This window comes from Homo sapiens, chromosome 3 (assembly GCF_000001405.40).
Source record: "Homo sapiens chromosome 3, GRCh38.p14 Primary Assembly".
NCBI classification, from domain to species: domain Eukaryota; kingdom Metazoa; phylum Chordata; class Mammalia; order Primates; family Hominidae; genus Homo; species Homo sapiens.
Genome location: NC_000003.12, coordinates 134,604,894 through 134,621,188, shown reverse-complemented (window position 1 = coordinate 134,621,188; position 16,295 = coordinate 134,604,894). Strand labels below are relative to the sequence as shown.

At 51.4% G+C, this 16,295-nt stretch overlaps 2 protein-coding genes across 13 annotated transcripts in view, besides 1 other annotated feature; one reads left to right on the top strand and one right to left on the bottom strand.

Moving 5' to 3' along the window:
* CEP63 (centrosomal protein 63) overlaps window positions 1-16,295 on the bottom strand; it is a 296,836-nt gene that overhangs the window by 161,371 nt on the left and 119,170 nt on the right. For all 8 annotated transcript variants that reach the window (XR_007095732.1, XR_002959589.2, XR_007095733.1 and 5 more), the window contains one exon: window positions 5,751-6,005. The gene's annotated coding sequence lies outside the window, so the exon portion shown is untranslated. The remainder of the gene's footprint in view (window positions 1-5,750; window positions 6,006-16,295) is intronic.
* KY (kyphoscoliosis peptidase) overlaps window positions 1-16,295 on the top strand; it is a 51,100-nt gene that overhangs the window by 29,834 nt on the left and 4,971 nt on the right. For 3 of the 5 annotated variants that reach the window (NM_001350859.2, NM_178554.6, NM_001366276.1), the window contains 4 exons: window positions 332-440; window positions 1,924-2,041; window positions 10,806-10,994; window positions 12,350-12,540. In NM_001350859.2, the coding sequence (NP_001337788.1) occupies window positions 332-440; window positions 1,924-2,041; window positions 10,806-10,994; window positions 12,350-12,540 (607 nt within the window). Of the gene's footprint in view, window positions 1-331; window positions 441-1,923; window positions 2,042-10,805; window positions 10,995-12,349; window positions 15,250-16,295 lie in introns of those variants that run through there. The other 2 variants (NM_001350860.2, NM_001366277.2) reach the window with 1 other exon arrangement.
* Window positions 1,278-1,778: an enhancer, noted in NCBI's record as "H3K4me1 hESC enhancer chr3:134338253-134338753 (GRCh37/hg19 assembly coordinates)". NCBI's record gives its function as "activates a minimal SCP1, AML or CMV promoter by ChIP-STARR-seq in primed H9 embryonic stem cells {active_cell/tissue: H9 hESC(primed)}" and the evidence as "EXISTENCE:reporter gene assay evidence [ECO:0000049][PMID:30033119]".

The following is a 16,295-nucleotide window of genomic DNA, read 5'->3' as shown; positions in this document are numbered from 1 at the left end:
GAATTTTGATAAGGATTATGTTAAATCCTTAGTATTGACCACGACCAGGGGCTGCTACAGCTGTCCAGATGCCTGCCTGGCTAGCCCCCAGATCTGCAGAGAAAAGCTGTGGTGGCTCTAGGGCCTGTGATTGAGCTGGTCAGCACCACCTGCCCTGTCCAACTTCCCCCACCTCCTCCCAATTTGTCCTCAGCCAGCCTTTGCCCCTCAGGACCTCTCCTCCAGCTTCTCTGCCTGGAGGAAGAGCAGCACTGGCTGTAGGTGCAAGATGCTGGGCCCCCAACAGCCCCTCCTCGAGGCCCTAATACAGCACACCCTTCCTGCTCCCCAGGTGACAGCCAAGAGTGGCCTAGACGAACTGGTGAGTGACCTGCTCCAGGAGGCCCACACTGACCTGGAAAGGGTCCGCGCCATCTGGATCTGGATCTGCCATCACATAGGTAGGCCCCCCTGTGGAATTTCTGGCTCTAGAATCCCTTGCTTCCATTCCCTGCAGGCCTCTGCTCCTATCAGCTTATTCACGTGTGCAGAGTGACATGAAAGGTGGGGGACAGGGACCCAGAAGACTGGACTGATGAACCAGAGAGTAACCAAGGAGGATAAAATTCACCATGTGCTATGAGTCTCCATGAAAGTTAGTTGGAGGAGAATCCCTTGCAGCCTTCTGCCCATAACCAGTGCCCAGAGCTGGAAACTTCATCCAGCAGCAGCCTTCCCTCTGTCCCAGCCTTCCCTCTGTCTTATCTCCACAGAGATGAGAGCCCAGAGCAACAGGTCATCTCCAAGAAGGATTACCATTGGTGGGGAGAAGTTGCAGCTGTTTGAAAAGTGATTGCAATACCAGAGGGTTCATTAAATACCAGGGCCAGGAAAAGCGGGTTCTCCACTTCCTGCTCCCACACTAGCAACATTGGCCACTGGTCCCAGCGCAGTCTCCAAGGTTCTTGGAGCCACCTGAGGGACCTGGGCCTATGCAGCTGCCCACAGCTCTCCACAGGATGGCCTTGGGAAGCTCCCGGGTCAAGCAGAGCTGCAGAGGTGGTGGCTAAGGGATGCTGCCCCTTGCCGCCTTGCAAACACAAATGAGAGTGGGCAGGGCCAGATCACGAGGTGGACTCCTAGTCCTTTGACATAAAGACCAGCCGGGTCTTTCTCGACCTGCTGCCACTGGGCTTTTCTTTTATTCTTCTGGAACAACAGTTTGGAATGCAGCTTAGAGAATGAGCTCGCCTGGCACAGGTAGGAGGTCCAAACTGAGGACTTGAGAGACCCCCAGCTCAGCTCCCATCCCAACTCCACCAGCTGTGCCTGTGCCTTAAAGGGGCAGGGTCAGAAATGGGACATTTATAGGACTTCGTTACTGCTCTATCCCCATGCCAACACACACATACACAGTCTCAATGGGTCCTCAATAGCTACAGAGACTTCTGCCTTAGGGCCTCACCACAGGCCTCAGGCTTCTTTGCAATGTCTTCATCCCCTCCTTAGTGAAGTGACAGGCTGTGGGAGAGCAGCCTTCTCCACTTGGAGACGAGCTCTGTGTGCCCCATGGGTCAGCATGAGGCCTTCGGGCTGCAGGAAAACGGGATGAGTGATTTCACTGGAAATGTGTGCAGAGCTGTGTGGTGGGGATTAGCAGAGAGAGCCCCATGCCTCTGCACTGTCCTGGTCCCTTCTCCTCCTAGCCCCTCCTCAGAGGCTTGGGGAGCCAGGTGGCCCCCTCTGCCAAGGCCTGCTCTTCCTCTCACCACTTGCACAAAGAGGTGATAGTTCCCAGATCCCATTTGTGCTGGGGCTGTAGTTCCATTCAGCCCACTGTAGTTTCCTGGGGCTGGTGATGGCCAGAGCACAGCTGGGGGTTGGGGTGGAGTCTTCTCGCCTCCCAGGCTCAAGCTCTTCATGATCCCCTCACCTGCCCTATAGAGTATGACATTGCAGCTGCTCAGGAGAAGGACCGCCAAGCCTTCAAACCCACTGACATCCTGCGGACCCAGAAGACCAACTGTGATGGCTATGCTGGCCTCTTCGAGAGAATGTGCAGGTACGAGAGACAGGAGTCCCCATGCTGACCACCGGACCCATCCCTCTCCCTCTTCCACAGTGCCATGTGCCTTTGCCCACATGCCAGGCCTGAAACCTGAGTTTACAAACTCTGCTCTGGAACCCAAGTGAGTCCTGAAAAGGTCAATTTCTCCCTTTTTAACACCAGCATAATTGACTTTGTACCATCTGCCGGGCTTCGCGATGCATTAACATAATGGTAGATGAATGCACAGAGATAATTTGGTTATAAAAAGCCCTTTTTCCGCCTTCTCCCATCTCTATGCAGCTGAAGGTTAAAAGAATGGCAGGCCTGGGAGCGGGAGGACAGTGACTGCAGATGCCAAGGGGACTGTGAAAGGCTGTCCTCAGGGCTGACACAGGGAGCCTCTTTTGGGGGAAACAAAAGATCTCCCACCTGAAAAGATTTGTCAGTTGGACAGCTGAATCACTACGAAGCGGCTACTCTTGGAGTCGCTGGGCTCCATTTTCAGCACTCTGGGAGTGGGCATATGGCCAGGTTGCTGGGGTGGGTGACAGCTCTGGCCTGAGCAGGAGAACAGGCCATTGCCAGTTCCCAGTGACTCAAAACAGGCTCAAGATGTGGGGTGGGGGGAGGGGATGGCCACTGACCCCCACAGCTTCCTGAGCCTACCCTCTGAGGTCTGCTGGGTTCCTCCAGAAAACAGTCAGCTAGCCCTGGGGCCATCAAAGAACCCCTCCCCAGGGGGTGGATGAACAGCGGCCCACTGTCTTTCTAGGCTTCTGGGAGTGAGTCTTCTTAGGCACCCAGATGTCAGCCCACCAGAACTGCAGGTGGCAATTCATCAAACCAAGTGTAACACTTAGTCCACAGGCAGGCAGTTGTGATGGCCTCAGTGTTGCAGAGGCGGCAGCTGCCGAGCACTGGGTGCATGCAACCTATTCCTGGCCCAAACCCCCTGTTGTGCTGCCTCCTGCCCCCATCACCACTGCCAAGCACAGGCACCTACCCGGCTGCTGAGTTACTCTAAGCCTCCTGCTCTGCTTCCTGTACTTCCCTTTTCTCACTTTCAAGGCCAATCCCTGAGACCACAGCCCCAGACGCAGCCACGGTGGGTCAGGGTACAGAATATGCCACCCAGGCTGCTTCCCACCCCCTACCCCAGACCCAAGCATACCTCCTGCTGCCTGCAGGCCTCTCCAGGAACCTGGATCCTCACTGGCCTCTCTGTCCAGGCTTCCCTGGTCCTGGGTTCCTAACATCACTAAAGGATCACACTATCTAGCAAAGTCCTCCAAAATCTGACCTCAGCCAAGTTTCCAGCCCTGCACTGTGTGACACCACCTTCCTGACCACCTCTGCATGCACACCTGCTCCCTCTCCCCAGAGCTCCTTCCAGGCCCCGCTCCAGGACAGCCCACAACCTTCCCCTTCCTTTGTACCCCCAGCCCAGTTGCACACCAAACTCATGTGTTGCCTTATGCTTTCAATTAATAACATTTTTAAATTTAAAAAATACCATTCATTGTAGATGGTTTATAAAATGCACTAAAGCAAAAAAGAAATTATTACTCTGAATCTCACCACTTACAGCTAACACTGGTAACATTTGGTCATATTACTTTCCAGACTGTGTTCTGTGCATACAGGAATTACCTGTGCTCGGTTGTTGTCATACATCCTATCGATTGTATACGTCTATATTTGCCTTTATCTCCTCTCTCCTTCTACCTCCCCTGCGAATACCCATCTCAGAATCCTACACCCAGTAGGCCCTCAATAGACATATATAGAAATGACAGGATATTCCTAGCAGACTTATGTGGAATGGAATGTGGAATTCTCTTTTAACTGATGAAATAGCCACAAGTCTCTTAGCTCCATTTGTGCCTAGCATCTTTCAGAACATGATTATTTTCCTCTGATTTTACAAATTTGAAAAATGCTTAGCATTTTTTCCAAGTTCCAGGATATATTCCTCTTTATCCAGTATAAGCTTTCTAGCATACTGTAGAAGGAATGCCAGATTTGAAGCTAGAAAGACCTGGGTCTACCACTTAGAGTGGTATCGCCTCCTTGATCCAGTATAAGCATCCTAGCATCCTTTAGAAGGAGTGCCAAAGTTAAAGCCAGAAAGACCTGGCTCCCAGTTTTTAATTTACCACCTATTAGTTTTGTTCTTTGTGGTAAGGCCCTTAACCTCTTGCAGCCTCAGTGCTCTCATCTATATATTGGAGACTAGATTGCCTACCTGGCAGGGCTATAGGACTCAATGAGACTGCAGTTTGGGGGTTACCAACCCGATTTTGGGGTGGGTGTTTTTTGACCTATCTTGTCTTTCTTGAGTATTGATTGGAGTCCTTTTGCTCTGTGGAGTTTTCCTACAGACTCTGCCAGCCTACATAGATTCAGAAAATTGACACTTGCCTTGAGTGAAACTGTCAGCTTTTTGCCCTGGTCCAGATACTTAACAATGGCCCTATTCTGGCCTGCAGCTTATCATTAAAACTCTCCCTAACATTTTGCATCATTTAAAATTAGTTCCAACATGGTGATTACCATGTGCAAAATTCCTCACACTGCCTGAGATGTGTAGCAATAGCTCACGGTCCCCTGAATTCCTTTAACTGTTTCTTTAAAGATCAGTAACCTATCTATGCATCCCTCTACTAACTCTCTTTACCTTTAAAATAACTGCCAAAAGTTTGGTAAATTAATTAGCTAATTCCTTAATAACTGAGGACATATAATCCGCACTTGCTGATTTATCCCTTCTTGGTTGTCAGGGTGGACATCATTACTTTTTGCCAGTCCATTCCACCTCCCTGAAATTGTCTCATTAAAGACTGATTTAATAAAGTAATTTGGGGAGGAATTCAGATATTTTCACAACATCATTCAGTTCCTTCTGTCTGTCCCAAGTCACTGATGTGGGGTTTTTTGGTTAATGCTATAGCTTGTAACTGCTGGTCCAGTTTCCTTCTGACTTTCTATCATCCAACATTAATGTCTCTCTTTTTGCCTCAGTTGCCTGCATCCTTAGTTGATTCTGCCTAATTTCCTCGCAGGAGCCAAGCTTAATTCCCCAGACTGCTGCTCTTGAGTCGGCCTCCAGTAAATTCTCTTCCCGTTAGCATGGCTTTAGCATCACCAGCTAGCAGGTTTCAGAGACGTTGGATAAAGCCAGGCACTTATTACGAGTTTGAGCCCTGACACTGAGGGAGTTGGTTGTCACCAATCAGATGTCAGCTGGCTTTCCACTCATCCTCCAGCTGTCACTGAGAGCAGGGGCAGGAGTGTGTGCAGTCAGATGGCTGCTTCTGGTTAGCAGTATGTCCCCTATAATCCTAAAACATCACTTGGTTCCAAAGGCCCCAAAAGATAGGCAGTGGCCATCTAAGCCTTCTGGGAGATGCAGATTCATTGGATAACCTTAAATTATCACCAAATCTGATGCTGGTGTATAAGGCCTCTGAAAGGGACATCTTAGCTCCCCCACCCTTATAGCTACACCAAAGGATGGCACTCACAAAGATGAGTTATGTCACTGGTGCAAACCACCTTTCCATTTCACTCTCTATACCACCTACAAGTGTATAGATCAAAACAAAATCTTGATTTACAAAAGAGCTGGTGCAACATTGTGCACATGTATCCTAAAACTTAAAGTATAATAATAACAAAAATAAAATAAAATAAAAAGAAAAAAGAAAAAAAATTAACTTACCATGTCAGCTATGAGGAATATGAGGTCAAATGATTTTTCCATTTTCCCAATAGATGTTTTCACACGTGAAAAAAAAAAAAAAAAAAAAAGCTTCTTGAACTATGCATCAGGACAACTGCATCCACTGCTGCTCCGGCCACTGGCTAGCTGTGTGTCCCCAGGCAAGGCAGCCTCTCTCTCTGAACAGCTGACGCCTCCCTCACCTTCAGAGAGGAGGCCTCTGAAGTCACGTCTCATGAGGTTCTGCATGGGGCCCTGGAGAGAGAATTATTATCAAGATTACTAGTTATTGACGTAGCTGTAAGGGTAGTGTGTAAGAAAAGGGAAAAGAGAGCACATGGGAGAAATATAAACACACTGTCAGATTATAAGAAATCAAGTACATAAATTGTGAAAGATAAGTCATGGTTTGTTTGTCCTGCTGCAGTATAGAAACCACAGTATTTTCAACAAAATACCAAAAGAAAAGCATACTTCATAGTCTCTCCTACAGGCACACTCCCTCCCTTTTTCCCTCACTTGGCTCACACATCCTAGGAGAGGTGATCAGATTTGGGAAAGTCTACTGCGGTCAGAGCCCATTGGTGTAGGGTGCACCTGTCCACCCAGATATTTCAGCCACACAGCTGTTGGGGCCTGGCCTTGGTACTGACTGTAGGAGCATCATACAGTTCCTATGGCAGGGCCTGGACCATCTCAGTATAAAATAATACCAAATTAATACACTAGGATACAGTGCACCAAACTGGAACACACAGATCTTTTTAAATAATAAGGATAATGCATTCATAGAAGACTCAGCAGCTTCAGGGTTCATCAAGGGTAACCCAGGTAATGACATTGCCTTCTGCTTGGCTGCCCCTCTGTTCAGTCTCTTCCCATCAGGCCACATTTGGTGGCCATGTGGTCCTTTGCAGCCCTTGGGGCTTCTCTGATTGGGTCCCTGAGCCCTGATATTGCTGGAGAGTGGGGGCTGCAGCTTTCTCCAAATCCTCCAGGGTGCTCCTTGGCAGCTTGTTCAGGGCATCTTACATCCATGTTTTCATTGTGGCTTGGGATATATATCAGCCATGAGCTATGGAGGCAAAATTGAGGTTGTCAATTCTGTAAAGTAGAAGCGAAGATTCTGCAGTCTGAGGTCATTAAATAAATCTCCTTGGGTGATATTTTAGGCTCTGGGATGGCTGGTCGGAGCTCTTCAGGAGGTGGAAATGTTTCTAGTCCTCGGCCCCTCCTTCCGTGCTCTCTCAGCTCCTGCCTGCAAAGTTAATTCCTCCACCTTTGGGCTCTCCAGGTCTTTGCTTATAGACTGGGATTTTATAAGCAAAGTTCTGGAGACAGTTCCAGTGACAGTTCCCATATCCACCCTCCTTCCAACTATCAGCACATCTAGGGCAGCCACTGAGCCTTATTTTGGGGATATGATATTTTTTTATGTTGTTACATTGTGTTGCGTTGTATGGTGCCATGTCATGTTATAGCATTCCCTGCTACAGTGCTTTATACACAGTGTGTGCGGCCAGTGATCTTTTGATGACATGAAAGAGTTGTGGTTCATCCTGGCTAGCAAGAGTGGCTGGAGACAAAACTCCTGTGGGTTCCACAATCATCGTCTTATACATACAGAGGATTTTGCATGAGAATTATGGCATATTAACAATAATGCTTTACATTATGACCTTCTTTGTCCAATTCATCTGGCACATTGCTGCCAGGTAATAAAATATCCTCATATCAGAGTCAAGCATGGCATAAGCTTATAACTGAGTTTATATTTTCATCTTTTTTCTGCCCCAGGCATTCCCCACAGCCTTCCCAGCTTCTCCTCAGCCTGTCAGAGAAGAATCAACCCCTGGAGATCATTTAATGCCAACATTTCTCTCTGCCCATGATAAGCCTGGCAAGGTCACTCTAGAGGTGACCACCAGACCTGGGAGGTGACCTTATTTCCTGGCTCAGGGGCCATCACCCCCACTCAGAGCAGTACAGGTGGACATCCCTGCCCCTTGCTTCTTCCTCCTGCTCTCCTTTCCAGGGCTGGGGCAGGCTCTCGCTGCTGCTCCCTGACTTGGTTTTTCCAATCTTGCCTCCACTTCACTCCCTTGAGGGCAGGATGTCCCCCTGGGCACACGGCCTAGGACATGGCTTCTCCCAGGAGGACATTCCATACCCATTCTGATTTACCCCACCGCCTGGAGGCTGCACAAATGCTAAATTCCTCTCCTTCCTTCCTTGACTCCAGGTGGCTCTGAGCAGAGGACAAGCATCAGTGGGCAGCATGTCCAGAGGTCCACAGCGCCGCTAAATCAGTTCACCTTAATGCAAAACGAGCCATTCTCCAAGCCCCATTGTTCCCAGGACTCCCCTTATCCCTCCACATCATCCTAGAAAGTGATATGCACAGACATTCTAGGCAGCAATGGAAAGTAATTTCCTGAAGAATATAATTTTAAGTAGTATTTATGGCTTTTTTTCCAATTCTCAAAGTAACACATAATCATTATTAAAAATTTAGAAAATACAGAGAAGTTTCAAGAAAAACATTAAAATCACCTATAATCCCATTGCCAAAAGATCAGGTGCCTTTTGTGCCATCTCTCCCCCTCTCACTCCCTGCCCCTCCTTCTCTGTGCATGCAGGCAACACACACACACACACACACACACACACACACACACACACACACAGCATCGGCGTGACATTGTGCTGACTGGAGAGATTGACATGCTGTTGTCAGTTCACATCGTGTCAGGGGCACTGCTTAGCTCACTAAATATTTTTCACAACATTTCTTCTCCTCACCCAGTCTCTGAGTAGATGGGGCCCCACCTCCTATAGAATGTCTATCCCACCCCTACACCTCTACCCACTCCTCTGGCCTTGCTTTCCTCTGGTCCTTCTCTGCTAGCTGTTTCCTCTCAGACTATAAACACATCCAGACTTCCTCATCCTGAGAACAACCCCCTCAGCCTTGCATCCCCTCAGCACTCCCCACCACCTTCTGCTCTCTGCACTGCAGAGAAATGAGGAGAGAGCACTCCAGGTATGCAGGCTGCCCCTTCTCCCCTTCCTTCCACGGTCTCCTCAGCTACTGCCTCCTTCTGCCCTGGAGTGGCTTATGGCCTTTGCCAGCAGAAAATCACAACACTGGGATCTAGTTTCTCTTGCAGTCTGTCCCCATGCCCTCAAGTGCTCCCAGAAGCCATCCCACAGAGCCAAGCTGGTATGTTCTTATGGGATTCCTTAGAGGGCTTAGGAGGCCTGAACCTCCTTTTGTGAAGCAACAGGCAAAAGGGCGGGGGCTAGAAAACTTCCAAGCCCCTAAGGAACCTCAGCACTAGTGGCCCGGACTTTCCACAGGTGAGCAGAGGTTAAGGCAGACATGGTAACACCTCATCATTGCATGCATGTGAAGAAACACTGATGGCTGGGAAAGTAGAATCTGTTAACCCTCAGGACATCACATTTGATCCCAATGACTCTCTCAGCAAGTGATATGTATTAGTAATATTTAATCCAATATTTTGCTAATTTTAAATTACATGTTCATTTTTACAAGGAAGATTCCCCCAATTCCTATAGTAGATGCATGGCCATTTCACCCCATTCCCCTGGGAGGCTCCGTGGCCCTCTTGTTTAGAGCAACTGAGGCTGCAGCCCTGGTCTGTGGAAGGGCCCAGCCCCATGGGCCCATCTCACTGAAACAGACCCCACCAACACCCTGGACTGCAGACTCAGCTCAGCTGAGTACAGCACAGGGTCACCACTGAGTTGGGGACTGAGCAGCTTGTGTGGTACTCAAAGGAGCCCCATCAAAGGGGCATCAAGCACATCCTCGGTTTCACAGGTTGTGTATCTATTACACCAATTTTCCATGAGTGCAAGGAAAATGTCTTGAGGAAGGGGAACCTTTTCTAATTTACACAAAGGCCCTAGGAGGGCTAGCATGGGATGTCCCTAGGTCAGACTAGCAGTGAAATTGTCTGCACAGTCCATCCCCTTGGCTGTCCTCAGGGGAGCAGGGCTGCTGAGGAGCAAGACCAGCTGGCCATGAAAGGACACCCAGGGGTCTTGCTTTGGCCTTGGACTGGTGCCCACAGCCCAGGCCTGGGCCTCAGGGTTTTAGCTCCAAATGTCTCATTTTATATCTTCCCCAGAGGTGACCCATGCCCATCTTCCCATCCAGGTTCCCAGAAAGCAGTGCCAGCTCTACTATGAGCAGTGAAGGAGCACAATGTCAAAAGGACCCCAAAGCTCAGGTTGACTGGTCGGCATTTCCATTCCCCTCAGGACAGCCACAGGAGACTCCAGAATTGTGGCCAGGGCAGGCAGTCAGCAAATGACCTTAATGCACCATGATGGCTCTTGCACCATGTTCACAAAGGACAGACCCACCAGTCAGACCTGAGCAAACTGGCAGCTGGCCAGTCCTCCCTGGGCCAGGGCTGGAGACATCCACCGCCTGCCCCGGGGTTCCCCTGCAGGCATCCTTGGGAGGAATAGCAGGGGGGTAGGGCTTGGCTTCTGTACCCTCACAACCAGCAACCCCACAACACCTCACCCATGTCACGAGACCCATCTCTTCAGTCGCATGTCCAGAAGCGCCCTGGTTCTCCCAGCAGCTGTGCTCGCCCCTTACATGTAGGTTTTGTTGCAGGAACATTGTCATTTCCCCTGCTCCTATTTTCTTGAAGCCAGCCTCACGCTTGCCCCCATTTTTTCCTCCTGAAGAGCTGCTTGAGGAGCGTGTCAAGCAGGCTCTAGGGATGAACATTTCAGAAGTGATCTGAATGGTGTTGGTCTCAGGGGAGGAGCAGACAGCGGAGACTGCAGCCAGTCTGTACCAACAGGACCAGCCAGCACTGTATCTCCCTGTCCCCAGTGCCCCGAGATAAAAGCCATCAAGGCTGTTTATATGTGAGTACAAGAAGCAAGGAAAAGGATAGACAGGGAGGACTGATGGGCAGCAAACATGCCTGAAACCTGAGACCATGGACAGACTTGGAGGCAAGCCACAGCGGGATCCCCCTCTCAGACCCCCTGTCCTGCCCCCAGGCTCGCCGGAGTGCAGTGTATGACCGTGCCTGGCTACTCCAAGGGTTTCGGCTACCAGACAGGGCAGAGCTTCTCGGGGGAGTTTGACCATGCCTGGAATGCTGTGTACCTGGAGGGAAGATGGCACCTGGTGGACAGCACCTGGGGCAGCGGCCTGGTGGACACCATCACCTCCAAATTCACCTTCCTGTAAGTACTTGTCTCAGTTCTGCTGGGCGTCTGGCAGGTGGAAGTGGAGGATGTGCCAGGCAGCATGAAGCAGCAGGTGGAGAAGACCAAGCGGGAGGGGAAGGAGAGCCAGGAGGCCCCATGCCCACTCCTCCTCGGCTCTGAAGTGGGCTGGCTCCAGGCCAATTGTGAGGGCCCAGACCCTTTTGTCACCTCACCCTCCACTGACAAACTCCCCACTCTGACTCCCTATAACTCCCTCCACCAAAGCACTGAAAGCCTGCAGCATTTGCCCCCAGACCACACATGAGGAAAGGTGGGCTAATAGCCTTCTTTAGTTGTTGGCAGGTTCCCTTCCAGACTTTGGCCATTGACCACATTACCAGGCACAAATGCCAGAATGATCTCTTACTGCTTTGCCCAGACACCAGGCTCCTTCTCCTCTCAGGTCTGAGTGAGACCGTATCACATTTCTGAGGAAAGGGCTGTGGTTTTTGGGGAAGGGGTGCTATTGGCGGTGCAGGGTCACTGTGAGGCACAGTGGGGCAGGGCAGCCGGGGTGCAGAGGACTGGAGCATTTCTGTCCTCTGGGGCTCTGGCCAATCCTGGCCTTAACCTGAGGCTACATACAATATTCTTCATGGATCATGATGTTATCAGCAGCTCAGATTCCTTTTTATTCAGAAACATGAGTGTGCTCTCTCGATTTTTGCACCTTAAATCTTGACACTCCCACACATGGGACAAATACAAGCCATGTGCACACACATCCTACACGCAGGGCTCGCGTACTCACAGATACCCTCTTTACCTCTGTTATTCTCAACACTGCTCCTCTTAGGCAGAGCAAAGCCACCCCCATCTCAGGAAGGGCCTCTCTGTTCTTCTCTTGATCCCCATTACTGACATCCAGAGAGGCAGCACTCCAGTCGGCCCTGGAGAGCCACAAAAGGTCCCCGCCAGCACAGCTGCACAGCACAGAAACAGGTTGGGGTAGATGGAGGCAGTGAATTCAAGCACTCTGTCTCCCTGCCTTCCCACGACCCCACTGCGTGGTCCACAGGCTATGCCTTTCCCCCCTTTGAACTTCTGATTGTCTTTGAGCATGAGGCAGTCAGTTTTCCCCTCGACAGCCTAGGGCACTGAGTGCAGACCACAGTTGCAGGCTGTGGCCTTCCCTTAGAAGGGACCTCAGACCCTGCCTTGACTACAATTTCTGGAAGCATCCACTGAGGAGGAGTCTCCAGTGCCCATGTTAGGGTCGGAGATGGTGCCTCTTCCCATCCAGGGTGTCCATAGGACCACTCCGGTGGGTGTATTGGGCCCCTGCCTCCCCTGCATGGAGCTGGCTGCTAACCAGCTTGTCTCTGCTCCAGCTACAATGAGTTCTACTTCCTCACCCACCCTGCACTGTTCATCGAGGACCACTTCCCAGACAACAAGAACTGGCAGCTGCTAAAACCTCCTCAATCTCTGAGGCAGTTTGAGAACAACATGTATCACAAGAGTGAATTCTACAACAAAGGGATGCTGAGTGCCCACCCAGAGACTTCCATGATCAGAACAGGTGAGCCCGGAGCAGGTGCCAGTGTGCTAGCAGCAGGAATGGAGCATTTCGCACTGTCCTCCAGGAGCCCGCCTGAGACTGCGCTTTCAAGGCATGCCCTTCCAGACGCATGGCTTGTGAGCTTAGCACAAAGCTTGTGTGTGCATGTGGATGAGTGGAGGCTGCTGAGGCAGCCCAGGCCATCAGGGCAGGGAAGGGCCATAGGCCACATCAGCAGGGACAAAAGCTCACTCACACTAGCATAAACCCAGAAAGGGATGTGTCTGAAGGCTGCAGGTTTCCTAGAACTTGAAGGCTGAACACACAGCCTGGCATGTCACAGAAGCCAGGGCTGGGCACTTCCTAGCTGGGTGAGTCTCTCTCAGTTCACATAGCAGGGAAAAGGACTACGTCACCCTGGCTACACATAGCCTCTGGGCTCAGGTCCCCAACAGAAGCTACTGGCCTGCTGTGTTCTCTTCCCCAACTCCTGCTGGAGAGAATACATGGCCTCAGCAGAGCTGGAATCTGGGTGTTGGTGGTCCAACCAGCAAGGATGGGGAGCAACATGGGTCTCCCAGGACAGGTGGGGGCAGTCCCACCCAAGACAGAGAGTTGGGGCAGACTTCCTTAGGGAGGTGGCCACTGAGCTGGGTCTTGGGAGAGGAGAACAGGCCTAGTAGCTAGACAGAGATGGACATGTTCTAGGCAGCAGAGGAGAGGCGGGGACACAGTAAGCCCCCAGCCTCCAAACTCAGGCACCCCTGGATGAGGGCCAAGCTCCAGCACCTCTGCCTGGCTGGCTCAGTACCCCTCCCTTCTGGAGGCGGGACCCAGCCGTTTCCAGCCCACTCCCCTGGGGCAGTATAGGATACCCAGCTTAGCCATCTCCCATGGCTGGCCTGGGCTGACATGTGCTCTCCCAACCTTCACCACGGAGCCATGGCAGCTGAGTATGTTTGCACACTCTGAGGCATACGGGGGCTGCCCTGGAGGGCCAGAACTGGTCACAAAAAAGCAGGGCCTTCTCTGGAAGATTGTCTCTTATGCCTCTCCAAGGCCTTGGCACCTGATCCAGTGCTGGGCACACAGCCTGGGCACGCTGCACAGCCCTGTAAGTCGGGTCAGTCCAGCCTCCCACACCTCAGCAAAGGACTGCCTGGTGGCACCGTCTCTGCCACTGGGGCCTCCATCCGCCCAGGACAGGAGGTCTGAGCTCACACTGACTATTAGCACAGGGTGCCTGTGGGTGGGCCCAGAGCCCCTGGGGAGCTCCAACCCACATTGCAGGGCAATGGGGCAGCGGGGAGCACAGGTGTCCCCAAGTTAGTTCCAACTGACTTGTCCCTTCCACCACACAATGACTTCCTTTGCCAAGTTGCTGAGCTCTTGCAAACTCTTCCAACTCCAAATACCTGGCAGCTCCTGCAGCTAAAATAACAGCGTGAAGTTGCTCAATTTGAGAATCCATTTCCTGTGCTTACAACAGATGCAGGGCTTGTTCAATGTATCATAGGCCGTGGAAATATCGGAAAGAACTGACCAGGTCAAAGCAACACCAAACTGATGTCATTGAGTGGAGTTTGCCTTTTTAAGAGACATAAAAATATAAACACCAGATTCCTTAATTTATAGAAATCTAAACCTAAATATGATTCCATATATCTGATACTTATGTACAGAGTATTTCTTTGTGGTAGCTAGTTCTGTTAAGAGAGGGGAGGGGAAGGAAACAAAATAGGGAAACTGAGATGAGCAGAAAGGAAGGGAAGGAAGAGGGCACCTAGATAAGGGGCTGGAAAGCTGCCAGGCTCTAGGAGAGTGCCGTGGAGGGGAGAGGGGAGGAGGAGGAGGAAGAGGGGACTGGAAGAGCCGTGGACTCCCATAGAGGTCTGCAGGGGTGGCTAGTCCTTTATTTCAAGTCTTCCCAGTCATTCAACACACCTTTGGCAAGAACCCTCTGGGTGAGGCACCACAACCAGGCACTAAGACGTGGCAGGAAATGAAACAGGCTAGCCCCTTCACCACAGAGCCCACAGGCCAGCAAGGAGTTCGGACACTACACAAAAATGATCACATGATGAATTACAGCAGTGGAACGTTCCCTGAAGGACAGCCAGGGCTAGGAGAGAAGCTGCCAGGGAACTCAGCCTCAGCTGAGGGGTCCGGGTGGGCTGCTTTGCCACGGGGACATTACCATGAAGCCTTATCCAGGTTTGGGGGAAGTGGTGGGGAGGGAGGAGAGGGTAGGAGGAACCTGAGGCATGAAGGGTTGTGGCCTTGGAGGATCTGAGAGAGTGCTTGATACTGGCGAGGCAGGAAGAGACAGGCTTCTCCACGGGTCTCCAGCTTGAGGGCTCTGCCGTGAGCCCAGGAGTAGCCAGGTGGACGTTTTCAAAGGAGCCCTGGGGCTGCTGTGTGGGGTGCTGGGTGGTGCTCCACAATCAAAGGTGAATCTCAGGGGGATCTGGGCTTCACTGTGCAGAAAAGACTCACAGCCAGTTGTGAGATGGAACAGGACCAGGGGCCGTGAGCAGTGAGGAGCTGAGGTAGCTTCTGCCCACTGAGCTGGTTCAGAAGTGAGGGGAGAGGAGGGTTTTCACCAAGAGGGGATAGCAACTCTATTGATCTTGGTCACTTTCCTTTGGAGGTTACCATGGGACAGATGTGGCATGCAGTGGCTGAAGGCAGTAGAGAAAGCATGTAGACAAATAAAATAGCATGAAAGCACCAAGAGTCACACAATTTCAGTGTAACAGAAGGGGAAGCAATGGCATTGGAGTTAAGCAGTGCTCAGAGAGTGGGATGAGGGCCAGTCCTCAAAGAGTGGGGGTCGCAAAGAGGGGAGAGTACTCAGAGGAAGGCGTGGAGGCCAGCAGCCTAGGTCCTCCAAGGTCTGAGAGGCCTCGTTATTAGGAAGTCACTGGAGGGTGGGGGCAGAGGGAAGTCACTGCAGTGCCAGAGAGCTGACCGGCAGAGGGGAAATGGAGGCAGTGGGGGGATGTGTGGGAGTGTAGGGCAGGTGCGGAGTGGGCAGTATGTGACAGGGTTGGGACAGCTTTTGAGCTGGGACAGCCACGAAGAAGGTAGAGGGGCTGTCTAAGCAGCCTCCCCATCATGCTGGCCCATGTGGTCTTCTCCCATTCCTGAGGTGGGAGTTGGCATGGAATGCAGATTCAATGAGAAGTCTATTAAGGCCTTTGTCCTAGAGCCCAGGCACAGTGTTCTGCCTCCCCTACCAAGAGTCCAAGCTAGGGGAAAGTTCCTAGGGACATGGATCAGACAGCCTCTCTCCTTCCTTTGCACTCAACTGTGAACGGGGCTGGGGAGGTTGCTGGGGCTGGGAGCAGATGACCAGCTTCTGAGAGAATTAAGACCAGGCTCTAAGAGAAGCCACGGTCCCTCCCTGTGGCCCTGGAAGCCAGGAGGGACCAGGCAGGTGGGTCCTCATGGGCTACAAAGACTGGAGAACTGACCACCTGTCCCTCAAAATCAATGACCAGGACAGACGAAGATGAAACTTCAGAGCAAGGGGAGAGATGGGGGGTGGCAGTGTGGGGGTTGCAAAAGACCCTCCTGTGCACACACTGACTCTTCAGGACCCATTCCTGAAACATGGCTAAGATACACCTATGTGAGAAGCATGGGGTGGGGGAGGTGGGGATCAGGGAACTGCCCCACCCCAACCTCCTATGCACAGTCTCAGGGAGTGAAGCCATTCTCACTAGTTTTAAGGACAATGCGTTGACATGACAGCATTGACACTTAGACAGATG